Source organism: Homo sapiens, chromosome 7 (genome assembly GCF_000001405.40).
Source record: "Homo sapiens chromosome 7, GRCh38.p14 Primary Assembly".
In the NCBI taxonomy this organism is placed as follows: Eukaryota; Metazoa; Chordata; class Mammalia; order Primates; family Hominidae; genus Homo; species Homo sapiens.
Genome location: NC_000007.14, coordinates 74,915,404 through 74,930,756, shown reverse-complemented (window position 1 = coordinate 74,930,756; position 15,353 = coordinate 74,915,404). Strand labels below are relative to the sequence as shown.

Genomic DNA, 15,353 nt, shown 5'->3' with positions numbered 1-15,353 from the left:
TGGGGCCAGTCCTAGCCAGGGCAGAGAGTGGGTCAGCCGTCTCAGCTCCTTGAGTGGTTGGTGCTGGTACTGGTCTCATGGTTTTAGACCTGGCACCCAGTGGGTATGGGGAGCCCTGGGCACCTGTGGGCCTACTTATGGAAGTCATCCTCTTCCCTTATCAGGTACCGCCAACCCTGTGGTGCAGCTGCTGCCCCAGTTTCCCCTTGTGCTCCAGGTCCCCACTGTGGCAGTTGCTCTTCTCTGAGATCCAGCCAGTGTAGCTGAGTCCCTGGTGTCTTGCTAACTTCCTGCCAGCCCCTGAACCCAGAACTCTCTCTTTCCCTTGGCCACTGGCTAGGAGCCTCTACCACTGAAAAAACTCAGTTTCCTAGCCAGGTGCAGTGGCTCACGCCTGTAACCTCAGCACTTTGGGAGGCTGAGGCAGGAGGATCGCTTGAGAACAGGAGTTTGAGACCAGCCTGGGCAACATAGTGAGACTCCACCTCTAAAAAAAAAAAAAAAAAAAAGCCAGGCATGGTGGTGCATGCCTGTAGTCCCAGCTCCTTGGGGGGATTACTTGAGCCTGGGAGGTTGAGGCTGCAGTGAGCTATGAGGCTTGCCACTGTACTCCAGCCTGGGAGACAGAGTATGACCCTGTCTCAGTAACCAAAACCAAAACCAACCAACCAAACAAAAAAGGAAAAAACCCTCATTTTCCTTCTCTGTTAATATGGGTGATAATGCCCACCCTATAGAGTTGTTGGAAGGCATACTGATAGCATTTTTACACATTTGACACTCCCTGGTAGATAGCAGGTGCTCAGTAAAAAGTGACAATGGGCTGGACACCGTGACTCACGCCTGTAATCCCAGCACTTTGGGAGGCTGAGGCGGGTGGATCACCTGAGGTCAGGAGTTCGAGACCAGCCTGGCCAACATGGTGAAACCCCATCTCTACTAAAAATACAAAAATTAGCTGGGTGTGGTTGTGGGCACCTGTAGCTACACAGGAAGCTGAGGCAGGAGAACAACTTGAACCCAGGAGGTGGAGGTTGCAGTGGGCCACTGCACTCCAGCCTGGGCAACAACAGTGAAACTCTGTCTCAAAAAAAAGTGACAATGATCATTCCTGGTGTTAATAACAGACTTCCTTTTTTTTTTTTTTTTTTTTTTTTGAGACAGAATCTCCCTCTGTTGCCCAGGCTGGAGTGCAGAGACACGATCTTGGCTCACTGCAAGCTCCGCCTCCTGGGTTCACGCCATTCTCCTGCCTCAGCCTCCTGAATAGCTGGGACTACAGGTGCCTGCCACCACGTCCAGCTAATTTTTTGTATTTTTAGTAGAGACAGGGTTTCACCATGTTAGCCAGGATGGTCTCGATCTCCTGACCTTGTGATCTGCCCGCCTCGGCCTCCCAGAGTGCTGGGATTATAGGTGTGAACCACCGCACCCAGCCAATAACAGACTTATCTTTTTGCCTCTCACCTGACTCTGAGAGACTTTTGCTGCCATGATCTCTACATCTGAACTCCTCCCGAGAGCAGAGCTGCCCAGAAGGACCATCTGTGGTGATGGAAATGTTCTATGAATGCACCATCCAATATGCTGGCCACTTGAACACATGTGGTCCTGGCCCTTGTAGGCACTGGAATTGTGAGCAGCGTGACTGAGTATCTTAGTCTACTTGGGCTTCTGTTACAGAAAACCATAGGCTGGGTGGCTTAAACAACATACATTTCTCTCTCACAATTCCAAGATTGAGGAACCAGCAGATTGGTGTCTGGTGAGGGCCCACTTCCTGGTTTGTGGATGGCTGTCTTCTCCCTGTATCCTCACATGATGGGGAGTGATATAGTTTGGCTCTGTGTCCCCTGCTTAAATCTCATGCCGAGACCGGGCACAGTGGCTCACACCTGTAATCCCAGCACTTTGAGAGGCCAAGGCGGGCGGATCACCTGAGGCCAGGAGTTCGAGATTAGCCTGGACCACATGGTGAAACCCTGTCTCCACTAAAAATACAAAATTAGCTGGGTGTGGTGGTGGGCACCTGTAATCCCAGTTACTCGGGAGGCTGAAGCAGGAGAATCGTTTGAACCTGGGAGGCAGAAGTTGCAGTGAGCCCAGATGGCACCACTGCACTCCAGCCTGGGCGACAGAGTGAAACTGTGTCTCAAAAAAAAAAAAAAACAAAAAAAGAAAAAAAAAGAGGTTTCATGTCAAATTGTAATCCCCAGTGTTGGAGGTGGGGCCTGGTAGGAGGTGATTAAATCACGGGGCGGATTTCTCATGAATGGGCTGGCACCATCCCCTCCGTACTGTTTTCATGGTAGAAGGTTATCATGAGCTCTGCTTGTTTAAAAGTGAGTAGCACCTCCCCACCTCTCTCTCATCTTCTTGCTCTGACCATGTGAAATGTGCGTGCTTCCCCTTCACCTTCTGCCATGATTGTAAGTTTCCTAAGACCTCCCCAGAAGCTGAGCAGATGTCAGAATCATGCGTCCTGTACAGCCCATGGAATGTAAGCCAATTAAAACTCTTTTCTTGGCTGGGTGTGGTGGCTTGCACCTGTAATCCCAGCACTTTGGGAGGCCAAGGTGGGTGGATAACCTGAGGTCATGAGTTCGAGACCAGCCTGGGCAACATGGTGAAACCCCGTCTCTACTAAAAATACAAAAATTTGCTGGGCGTGGTGGCAGACGCCTGTAATCCAGCTACTCAGGAGGCTGAGGCAGGAGAATGGCTTGAACCCAGGAGATGGAGGTGGCAGTGAGCCAAGATCGTGCCATTGCACTCTTGCCTGGGTGATGACAGCGAAACTCCATCTCCAAAAACAAAACAAAACAAAACACCCCTCTTTTCTTTATAAATTACCCAGTCTCAGGTTTTTCTTTATAGCAGTGCCAGAATGGACCAAGACAGGGAGAGAGGAAGCAAGCTCTCTGATGACTCTTCTCAAAAGGCTGCTAATCCCATCAAGTGAATTCCACCCTTATAACCTCCTCTCAACGTGATCACCTCCCAAACTTCTCGCCTCCAAATACCAACACATTGGGAGTTAGGAGTTTGACATATGAATTTTGGAGAGTCCACAAACATTCTGCCTGTAACACTAGAAAAGAAATTTTGATTTCATTTTATCTATTTGTTTGAGACAGAGTCTTGCTCTGTTGCCCAGGCTGCAGTGCAGTGGCGTGATCTCGGCTCACTGCAACCTCCACCTCCCAGGTTCAAATGATTCTCCTGACTCAGCCTCCTGAATAGTTGGGACTATGGGCACCCACCACCATGCCTGGCTAATGTTTTTTGTATTTTTAGTAGAGACAAGGTTTCACCATGTTGGCCAGGCTGGTCTCGAACTCCTGACCTCAAGTGATCCTCCCACCTCGGCCTCCCAAAGTGCTGGGATTACAGGGTGAGCCAGCGAACTTGGCCTTCCTTTAATTTTAATCAATTTAAATGTAAAGAGCTGCATGTAGCTAGGAGCTACTGAATTGGACAGCACAGCCTTAAGGAGAGTGGAAATCAGCTGAATCCAGTTGAAACAGGAGTTAAACCAGTTGGAGCCAGCCAACATTGGATGACTTTGGCTGAAACCACCTGAAACTGGTTGAAAGGAGCCACAAACTGTTCACAACCAGCTGAAGCTGAATTAACCTGGCTGAAACTGGATGAAGTCATTTGAAACCAGCTGAAACTGGATCAAACCAGCTGGCAGTGGTTGAAACCAGATGAAATCATTTAAGTAGGGTTTGTCATATTATTTTGCTTCTTGATGAACTAGTCCTGGCTTTTTTTTTTTTTTTTTTTTTTTGACAGAGAGTCTTGCTGTGTCGCCCAGGCTGGAGTGCAGTGGTGGGATTTCAGCTCACTGCAACCTTCTCCTCCCGGGTTAAAGTGATCTTCCTGCCTCAGCCTCCTGAGCAGCTGGGATTACAGGAGTGCACCACCACTCCCGACTAATTTTTGTATTTTTAGTACAGACGGGGGTTTCACCATGCTGGCCAGGTTGGTCTCGAACTCCTGACCTCAGGTGATCCACCTGTCTTGGCCTCCCAAAGTGCTGGTATTACAGGCATGAGCCCTGGTGCCCAGCAGCATACACATTTAGTTTTATTCTAACAAGGTAGCTTGTACATTTTAAGATATAAAACTGAACATCTTTTTTCCTCTCTGGAGAAACATAAGGAAAACCAAGGAACTTTTTACAACAAACATTTTTAAACATTTACAAAAGTAGACAGAAGAGTACAGTGAACCCCCATGGACCCACTGCCCAGCTTAAATAGCAATCAGGATTTTGCCAATGTGCTCCAAACTGTCCTCCCCTTCCCCTCTTTTTCTTGGCTGGGATGTTTTAAAGCAAATCCTAGATATGTCATAAAAAGAAAATGTAAAAATAAAACAGAACAAAAATTACAATGCAGAATACCATTTCCAAATAAGATCTGGCCAGGCGTGGTGGCTCATGCCTGTAATCCCAGCACTTTGGGAGGCTAAGCAGGGGCAGATCACATGAGGTCAGGAGTTCAAGACCAGCCTGGCCAACATGGTGAAACCCTGTCTCTATTAAAAATACAAAAATTAGGCCGGGCGCAGTGGCTCACACCTGTAATCCCAGCACTTTGGGAGGCCGAGGTGGGTGGATCAAGAGGTCAGGAGATTGAGACCATCCTGGCTAACATGGTGAAACCCTGTCTCTACTAAAAATACAAAAAATTAGCTGGACGTGGTGGCGGGCACCTGTAGTCCCAGCTACTCAGGAGGCTGAGGCAGGAGAATGGCGTGAACCCAGGAGACGGAGCTTGCAGTAAGCCGAGATCGCACCACTGCACTCCCGCCTGGGCGACAGAGCAAGACTCCGTCTCAAAAAAAAAAAAAAAAAAAAAAAAAACCAGGCAAAACAATAGTATTCAAGAATACATATTTAGATGGGATAAATGATGAAATTATTTTATTTTATTATTTCTTTCTTGAAGACACCACTGCCACGCAGGCTGGAGTGCAGTGGTGTGATCATGGCTCACTGTAGCCTCCACCTTCCAGGCTCAAGTGCTCCTCCTGCCTCAGCCTCCCGAGTAGCTGGGACTATGGGGCACAGACCACCACACCCAGCTAATCTTTTTTATTGTTTGTGGACATGGGGTCTTGCCACGTTGCCCAGGCTAATAGATAGTGAATTTATTTTAAAGGAGCAAGAAAAAATGTCCATCAGCACATGAATGGATAAAGAAAATGTGATATATACATACAATGGAGTATTTAATTCAGCCTTAAAAATAAGGAGATCCTGTCATTTGCAACACCATGATTGAACTTGGGGATGTTATGCTAAGTGAAAGGCCAAGGTGGGCGGATTACATGAGGCCTGGAGTTCGAGACCAGCCTGGCCAACATGGTGAAACCCTGTCTCTACTAAAAATACAAAAATTAGCCAGTCGTGGTGGGGCACACCTATATTTCCAGCTACTTGGGAGGCTGAGGCAGGAGAACTGCTTGAACCTGGGAGGTGGTGGTTGCAGTGAGCCGAGATTGTGCCACTGCACTCCAGCCTGGGAGATAGAGTGAGACTCTGTCTCATAAAAAAAAAAAGAGTCAAACTCACAGAAGCAGAGAATAGGCTGGTGGTTGCCAGGGGCTGGGAGGAGGGGAAATGGAGAATTGTTCTTCAATGGGTGCAAAGTTTCTGTTATATAAGGTGAATAAATTCTAGAGATCTGCTGTCAAAATAGTACCTATAATTCACAAGCCACCAAGCCAGACCAGGTCTCAGTCTGCAGTGAGCCTATGCCCCAGGGTTGTGCCTTTTACACATTTCTCTCAGTTCCATCCCCACTGCCCTTTAGGCTACATAGGAAGGCTGGGGGAGCTGGAATAGGTATTTCTCTTATCCAGTTGTGGAAGGAGGTGGGTGAGGTTGGATATTTTCTTTTCCGCAGGCCAATTAGGCTCTGGAAAAATAGTTTCAATAGAGGGCGGTCCTCACTAAGAAGAACAGAATGTTCTAGGCATTTAAAAAATATATTTTATTTATTTTATTATGTATTCATGTATTTGTGAGATGGAGTCTGGCTCTCTTGCCCAGGTTGGAGTGCAGTGGCAAGATCTCGGCTCACTGCAACCTCTGCTTCCTGGGCTCAAACCACCCTCCCACTTCAGCCTCCTGAGTAGCTGGGACTACAGGTGCCTGCCACCATGCCTGGCTAATTTTTGTATTTTTTGTAGAGATGAGGTTTCGCCATGTTGCCTAGGCTGGTCTCTAATGCCTGGGCTCAAGTGATCTTCCTGCCTTGGCCTCCCAAAGTGCTGGGATTACCGGCATACCCACCACACCTGGCCTCTGGGCAGATTTTTATGTTTTTATTTTAAATTTAATTTTAATTTTTACTTTTTGGTATCTAAAATACCAAAATACCAAAATACCACTCTGTCACCCAGTCTGGATTGCAGCGGCATGATCTTGGCTCACTGCAACCTCCACCTCTTGGGTTCAAGCAATTCTCCTGCCTCAGCCTCCCAAGTAGCTAGGACTACAGGTATGCACTGCTGTACCTGGATAATTTTTGTATTTTTAGGAGAGATGGAGTTTCACCATGTTGGCCAGGCTGGTCTCGAACTCTTGACCTCAAGTGATCTGCCTGCCTCAGTCTCCCAAAGTGCAGGGTTTACAGGTGTGAGCCACTGCGCCCAGCCTAGGATTTCTTTGTCTTCTTCCAGTAAGTGTTAGTTCAAGCTCTCCTCTCCCTACTATTGTTTCTTACTGAGTCCCTCAGCAATCCTCCAAAAACCATATTATAGATCTAAAATTGCTCTTCAATTCTGGAATTCAAAAAGGTCTGGAGGCTGGGCGAGGTGGCTCACTCTGGTAATCCCAGCAATTTGGGAGGTTGAGGCAGGAGGAGGGCTGGAAGTCAGGTGTTCAAGACCAGCCTGGGCAACATAGCAAGATCCTTGTCTCTATATCTCTACATCTCTACAAACAATGAAGAAATTAGCTGGGTGTGGTGGCATTCACATGTAGTTTCAGCTACTCAGGGGGCTGAGGCAGGAGGATTGTTTGAGCCCAGGAGTTCAAGGATGCAGTGAGCTATGATTGCACCACTGCACTCCAGCCTGGGTAACAGAGTGAGACTGTCTCTTAAAAAAAGAGGAGGCATGGGTGGACATGGTGCTCATGCCTGTAATCCCAGCACTTTGGGAGGCCGAGGTGGGCAGATCACTTGAGCTCAGGAGTTTGAGACCAGCCTGGCCAAGATGGTGAAACCTCGTCTCTACTAAAAATACAAAAATTAGAGGGAGGTGGTGGCGCAAGTCTGTAATCCCAGCTACTCGGGAGGCTGAGGCAGGAGAATCGCTTGAACCTGGGAGGCGGAGGTTGCAGTGAGCTGAGATTGTGCCACTGCAACACTCTGCACTCCAGCCTGGGTGGCAGAGTAAGACTCCATCACAAAAAAAAAAAAAAAAAAAAAAAAAAAAAAAAAAAAAAAGAAGAAGGGGATATTAAGATATTCAGATAGAGACACCAGGGGTGTGTGCACAGAGGAAAGACCATGTGAGAACCCAGCAAGAAGGCGGCCATCTGCAAGCCAAGGAGAGAGGCTTCAGGAGAAACCACCCCTGCCAACATCTTGATATTGGACTTCCAGCCTCCAGAGCTATGAGAAAATAAATTTCTATTGTTTAAGCCACCTGGTCTGTGGTATTTTGTTAGAGCAGCCTGAGCAAACTAATACAGCATCTCAAAGATGCCTCTAACCCAACTCCATTCCCACCCTAAGAAAGAAACTGTGGAGAACCTGCAAGTTCAAGGGTATAATTTTGAGGTCAATACAGTAAGTCTGTCCTTTTAAACAGACCAGACCCGTGAATGTAAATGCCAGCTCCCAGCCCCTCCCAGGAAGGCTGAGTCTCAGCCCCAAAGAAAAAGAGGAAAAGCCAAGGACACTCCCTGCCTCCCTCATCCCCTCCTTCCCCTCCATGGGGCTGGCTGAATGGGAATCTCATGAACTCCTCAGCCCTCGCAGGCTTCAGCCCCGTGGAACTCTCCTTTGTGGTCAGAGAGTTATAAATTTGCCTTGTCATGGCACAGCCAGCAGGCCTGCCCTGTCCTCCTTCTAATCAGGTCTGCAGACCCCAGAGCCTGCCACTCACCTGCTACTATCCTGGCAGCATGCAGCCACCTTCCCAACAGAGGCACCGATGATGAGCACACGGGTCAAAGACCTTGACCCTGCCATAGCTTTCTCCAGACCATGGCAGCGTGGAGGCTGCTCCAGTGTCTGGGCCCGAAAGCTGGGTTTCCCTATCGGCCCTTCTCCCAGCCTCTCTCATCATTAAAACAGCCATCCTTCATGGCATCCTGCATCCAGACTCGCCGTGCATTGATCAGCTCTATTAACCTACTTTTCATTCCAAAGCCACACAGCCATTCCTACCGTTTCTGTCCTGTGTAAATCCTCACTGAAAGCACACTGCACGCCCTTTGTCTTCCTGCTATTTTTTGTTTGTTTGGTTGGTTGGTTTTCTACTCTTTTTTCCTAACGGTTTTTCTCTCTCCAAGGCACATGATCCCACAACCCATGTGATTTAAAAATTCTCTCTGGGGCCGGACATGGTGGCTCACATCTGTAATCCTGGTACTTTGGGAGGGCGAGGCGGGTGGATTGCTTGAGATCAGGGGTTCAGACCAGCCTGGCCACATGGTGAAACCCCGTCTCTACAAAATACAAAAAGTAGCGGGGGGTGGTGGCGCAGGTCTGTAATCCCAGCTACTCAGGAGGCTGAGGCAGGAGAATCGCTTGAACCTGGGAGGTGGAGGGTGCAGTGAGCTGAGACTGTGCCACTGCAGTCCAGCCTGGGTGACAGAGCAAGACTCCATCTCAAAAAAAAAAATTATCTTTGGAAGAGTGAAATTCTGTCATTTGCAGGAACACGGGTGAGCTTGGAGACCATTATGTTAAGTGAAATAAGTCAGGCACAGCAAGACAAATGGGCTGGGTGTGGTGGCTCGTGCCTGTAATCCCAGTACTTTGTGGAGGTGGGGGGATTGCTTGAGCCCAGGAGTTCGACACCAGCTTTGGTAACAGAGAGAAACCCCATGCCTACACAAAATAAAAATAAGAAATTAGCTAGGCGTGATGGTGTGCCCCTACAGTCCTAGTTACCAGGAAGGCTGAGGCAGAAGGATTGCTTGAGCCCAGAAGGTTGAGGCTGCAGTGAGCTATGATTGCATCACTGCACTCCAACCTGGGTGACAGAATGAGACCCTGTCTCAATGAAAAAAAAAAAGAAGACAAATGCCGCATGATTGTGTTAACATGTGGTAGCTAAAAAAGTTAATCTCAGAATTAGAGAGGAGAGGCCAGGTACGGTGGCTCACGTGTGTAATCTCAGCACCTTGGGAGGCCAAGGCAGGCGGATCACCTGAGGTCAGGAGTTCTAGACCAGGCTGGCCAACAGGGTGAAACCCCGTCTCTACCAAGAATACAAAAATTAGCTGGGAGTGGAGGCACGTGCCTGTAATCTCATCTACTCGGGAGGCGGAGGCAGGAGAATAGCTTGAACCTGGGAGGCAGAGGTTGCAGTGAGCCGAGATTGCGCCACTGCACTCCAGCCTGGGCAATAGAGGGAGACTCTTTCTCAAAAACAAAACAAAACAATTTATTTTCTATATTCAAATAGGTAGAAGAGCAGATTTTGAATGTTCCCAACACAAAGAAATGATAACTGAGGAAATGAATCCGCTAATCACCCTGATGTGATCATTACACATTGCATACATATATTGAAATATCACCTGTATCCCGTAAATTATTACAATTATTATATAAACATACAATTATTATACATAAATTAAAAATAATAAAAGCAAGAAAGAGTTCTTTTTGGCATTTCAAACAGAATTCCCCCTCTTTTGCTCGTGAATTTGAGAGGCAGTGTTCGAATCACAGCTTGGTTAGCATGTGACCTCAAGGAATGTTTGTTATCTGGGGCTGCTCAAACAAACCATCCCACAACTTAGTAGCATTAAATGGATTGCCCCAAACTTAGCGCCTGTCGTGATTTCTTTGGACCAGCGATTCTGGAAGTAGCTGGCTGTGCAATTCTGGCTGGAGGCAGGTGGAGGGGTGGAGGGAGTAAGGAGGTGGGCGGGGGTGAGAATGGGGCAGTGAAGGATGGGGTAGTGGAAGGCTGGCTGGGGATGCGTCTTCATGTCGTCTCAGGGCACATCCTAGGGTTAGCTTGGGCTTCCTTGCAGCATGGTGGCCTCAGGGCAGTGAGTCCATTTACACAACAGCTCAGGGCCACCGCGTACATGTTTTAGACTGTAAATTGGAGGCTGAAAAACATCATAACATCACTTTTGCCCTACTCAATGACTATCCTGTTACTAAGGTTGGGCCAAAATTAAAGGGGGGGTCATAGGCCCCCACCTCTTTTTTTATTTTCAGACAGGGTCTCCCTCCGCTGCCCAGGCTGGAGTGCAGGGGCGCAATCATAGCTCACTGCAGCCTTGACCTCCCAGGATCAAGCAATCCTCCTGCTTCAGCCTCCCAAGTAGCTGGGACATGGGCATGCATCATCACAGCTGGCTAATTAAAAACATTTTTTTTTTGAGACGGAGTCTCGCTCTGTTGTCCAGGCTGGAGTGGAGTGGCGCGCTCTCGGCTCACTGCAACCTCTGCCTCCTGGGTTCAAGCAATTCTCCTGCCTCAGCCTCCTGAGTACCTGGGATTACAGGTGCCCAACACCACACCTGGCTAATTTTTTGTATTTTAGTAGAGACAGGATTTCACCATGTTGCCCAGGCTGGTCTCAAACTCCTCAGCTCAGGCAACCCGCCTGCCTTGGCCTCCCAAAGTGCTAGGATTACAGGCATGAGTGACCATGCCCAGCCTAAAAACTTTTTTTTAAGGGATGGGATCTTGCTAGGCTGCCCAGGCTGGTCTTGAAGTCCTGGCCTCAAGCAATCCTCCCACCTTGGCCTCCCAAAGTTCTAGGATTACAGGCGTGAGCCACCATGCCTGGCTGATCCTCACCTATTTTTTTGTTGTTGTTTGAGACAGGGTCTATCTCCATCTCCTCGGCTGGAGTGCAGTGGCTTGATCATGGCTCACTCCAGCCTCAACCTCCTGGGCTCAAGCAATGCTACCACTTCAGCCTCCCGAGTGGCTGCGACTACAGGTGTGCACCACCACACCCTGCTAATTTGTGTATTTTTTGTAGAGATGAGGTCTTGCTATGTTGCCCAGGCTAGTTTCAAACTCCTGGCCTCAGTCAATCCTCCCACCTTGGCCTCCCAAAGTGCTGGGATTATAGGTGTGAGCCACCACCTCTGGCCAGCTCCCACCTGTTGATCAAAGGAGCATCAAAGAATTTGCAGCCTCCAGAAGGAGGTCATTTCCTGCCTCTGAGTCTCAGTTTCCACATCTATGAAATAAAGTTAATGATCCTTCACTCCAGGGTTGTCGTGAAGGCTAAATTAAGTTGTATTTGGAAAAATATGTGGGGCACAGTAGGTGTGTTTCTCACACCCAGAGTCAGAGTGTTTAGCAGAGGGTTAGTAGTTGCCTCCAGGGCATGAAGGGCTCTTCCTGACCCTAAGTGTGAGGAACGCTTTGGGTTAAAAGATTGTACTTTTCTGCGTTCAGCTGAAAGGTGGAGGGCTCAGTGAGGTGGCTCACACCTGTAATTCCAATGCTTTGGGAGGCCAAGGTGGGAGGATCACTTGAGCCCAGCCAGGAGTTTGAGAGCAGCTTAAACAACACAGTAAGACCTTGTTTCTACACACACACACACACACACACACACACACACACACACACACACACACACACACACAATTAGCCAGGCGTGGTGGCATGCGCCTGTAGTTCCAGCTACTTGGGAGGCTGAGGTGGGTGGATTGCTTGAGGCAAGGAGTTTGAGACAAGCCTGGTCAACATAGTGACACCCCATCATCCCCCAAAATCATTTTTCTTTGTTTTAAGGCAGAGCCTCACTCTATTGCCCAGGCTGGAGTGCAGTGGTGTGATCTCACCTCCTTGCAACCTCTGCCTCCCGGGTTCAAGCGATTCTTGTGTCTCAGCCTCCTGAGTAGCTAGGATTACAGGTGTGCACCACCATGCCTGGCTAATTTTTGTATTTTTAGCGGAGATGGGGTTTTGCCGTGTTGGTCAGGCTGGTCTTCAACTCCTGGCCTCAAGTGATCCGTCTGCCTTGGCCTCCCAAAGTGCTGGGATTACAGGTGTGAGCCACTGTGCCCAGCCACAATAAATCATTTTTTAAAGGTTAAATTTAACCTCATTTAAGTAATACATATAAGTCTCATCGAATAATTGAAGCCAGTTTGTGAGGTAAAGTCTATTATTATGTGCATTTTAATTCTTAGCGTTTAACTAAAGCCTCATAAGTACAAATAAAAACAGGACTTGCTATAACAGGTTGCCACCTATTTTCTTTAAAGATGACGAGCAGCATCTTATTTGCGTTAACACAAGTCATCCACATAACAAATATAGATAAGAAAAGTGGCCAGGTGTGGTGGCTCACGCCTCTAATCCTAGTACTTTGGGAGGCCGAGGCAGACAGATCACTTGAGGTCAGGAGTTCGAGACCAGCCTGGGCAATACGGTGAAACCCCATCTCTATCAAAAATACAAATATTAGCCCGGCATGGTGGTGGGCGCCTGTAATCCCAGCTACTTGGGAGGCTGAGGCAGGAGAATTGCTTGAACCTGGAAGGCGAAGTTTGCAGTGAGCCAAGATCATGCCACTGCACTCCAGCCTGGGTGACAGAGCGAGACTCTGTCTCGAAAAAAGAAAAAAGAAAAGAAAAGAAAAGTAAGGCACTTAGAGGGTAAGTGGCTTCACTCGGTACTAAGTAGGGGAGTGTGGATTTGAGCCAAGCTGTGGGTTCAAACCACATCAACACCTGCTATGCCTGACTGCGTCTCCACGCTGCTGGGAAGGTTGACTGAATCTGCCACTACCTCCCTGGGGTGCATGTGCTTACCAAACCATTGCATTATGTAAAAGGCGGTACTGTAGGTTTTTAGTTTTTTAATTTTTATTTTTTTGAGATAGAGTCTCACTCTGTCACCCAGGCTGGAGTGTAGTGGCATGATCTTGGCTGACTGTAATCTCTGCCTTCCGGGTTCAAGCGATTCTCTTGCCTCAGCCTCCTGAGTAGCTGGGACTACAGGCCCACACCACCACGCCTGGCTAATTTTTGTATTTTTAGTAGAGACAGGGTTTCACCATGTTGGACATCATGGTCTCGGTCTCTTGGGCTCATTATCTGCCTGCCTCGGCCTCCCGAAGTGCTGGCATTACAGGTGTGAGCCACCGTGCCTGGCCTCTAGTGACCTCATTTTAACTTGATCACCTCTGTAAAGACTCTGGTTCCAATAAGGTCACCTCTAAGGTCTGGAGGGTCATGGCTTCAATACATGAATTAGGGGTGGGGGGCACACCATGCAGCCCATAATACTAGCGTATCTGGTTATGTTAAACTTGCTATAGCCACAGTCTCGCTGACTTGGATATGGTACCATGGGAAGGGCCCTTAAAGATCATCTTATCTGGTTGGGCTCAATGGCTCACGCGTGTAATTCCAGCACTTTGAGAGGCCAAGGCAAGAGGATCGCTTGTGACCAAGAGTTCAAGACCAGTCTGGGCAACAGAGCAAGATGCTATATCTACTACAGGCATGCACCTGTAGTCTCAGCTACTTGGGAGGCTGAGAGAAGAGGATTGCTTGAGCCCAGGAGGCAACAGAGAGCTGATTGTACCACTGCACCCCAGCCAAGGCAACAGAGACCTTGTCTCTAAAAAACAAAAACAGGCCGGGTGCAGTGTCTTATGCCTGTATTCCCAGCACTTTGAGAGGCAGAGGCGGGTGGATCATTTGAAGTCAGGTGTTCAAGACCAGCCCGGCAAACATGACGAAACCCTAAAATACAAAAATTAGCCGGGAGTGGTGGTGGGTGCCTGTAATCTCAGCTACTCGGGAGGCTGAGGCAGGAGAATCGCTTGAACCTGGGAGGCAGAGGTTGCAGTGAGCCGAGATGGAGCCACTGCACTGCAGCCTGGGTGACAAGAGCGAAACTCTGTCTCAAAATATTAGGAAAAAAAAAAGAGAGAGAGCCTCTTTTCCATCTCCCCGCCACAGAGTTGTCTTCAGTAATTTCATTCCCTTCTTTCCTGAGGATTCACTGGGTTTCTGGGTCCCAGAGGGGAAGTTCTCTTCAAGGTACAGAAACCACGACTCCGCAGAGAACCGCAGAGATGGCAGCATGACCAGACCACGGACAGGTGTGTAGAAGCTGCTGGGCTGAAACTTGGGCTGAACTTCCGCTGCAGGTTGACTTATTCCCATCAGCACCAAAGCCGCTGGAGGGGGTCATCCACTAGCAAATGAAGTGGGGGCACGGATTGGAGGCTGTTTCAGAAGGTCCCACTGAGCCACGGACTCAAGGCCTGGCCACAGCCCTCCCAAACGAGGCCCAGATCATATTTCACCACGCTCAGAAAACCTTGTCAGCTCATTTCAGTCCACAGTGACTTTGCTTTCTTTAGGATCTCTCTTGCACTGTCCAACTCAGAGAATTTCAAATCTGAATGGATTCCAATGATGGAGCTAAATCAGGCCTCACCTCAGTTTTTTAATTACAATCAATAGGGCTGGGTCCCAGCATCTGTGTCTTAATGTTCCTCCATGTGATCCTCATGCTGAAAGGCTGGTATTTGAAAATCCCTTTATTTGGGGAGTGAAGGGTTTTTTTAGAGACAGGTCTCACTCTGATGCCCAGCCTGGAATGCAGTGGTGGATCACAGCTCACTGCAGCCTCGAACTCCTGGCCGCAAGAAATCCTCCCACCTTAGCCAACCAAAGTGTTGGGATTGCAGGAGTGACCACTGTGTCCAGCCAGGAAAGCCCTTCTGTTTCACTTGAATGATATTTCTGCCGCAGACCTACAGCCATTGTTGTATTAAACGGCATCATTGCAGGAAAAGAAAAGGTGAGAGGTGACTGTTTTGCTTTTTTCTGAACATATCAGACCAAACCAGGGCTGTCTGGCACTTTTTTTTTTTTTTTTTTGAGTCGGAGTCTCACTCTGTCGCCCAGGCTGGAGTGTAGTGTCGTGATCTCGGCTCACTGGAACCTCCACCTTCCCGGTTCAAGTGATTCTCCTGCCTCAGCCCCACAAGTAGCTGGGATTACAGAAGTGCACTCCCACGCCCAGCTCATTGTTTCTGTATTTTTACAGAAAAACAGACAGGTTTCACCATGTTGGCCAGGCTGATCTCAACCTCCTCACCTCTGGTTATCTGTCGGCATCGGCTTCCAAAAGTGCTGGGATTACAAGTGT

General features: G+C 48.5%; 1 pseudogene across 1 annotated transcript in view; it reads right to left on the bottom strand.

Moving 5' to 3' along the window:
• Positions 1-9,618: 9,618 nt before the first annotated feature.
• Positions 9,619-15,353, bottom strand: part of PMS2P5 (PMS1 homolog 2, mismatch repair system component pseudogene 5) — a 30,371-nt pseudogene continuing 24,636 nt past the window's right edge. Inside the window, exon 4 of the transcript NR_027777.2 lies at positions 9,619-10,318. The product of NR_027777.2 is annotated as a PMS1 homolog 2, mismatch repair system component pseudogene 5, transcript variant 3 (transcript). The remainder of the gene's footprint in view (positions 10,319-15,353) is intronic.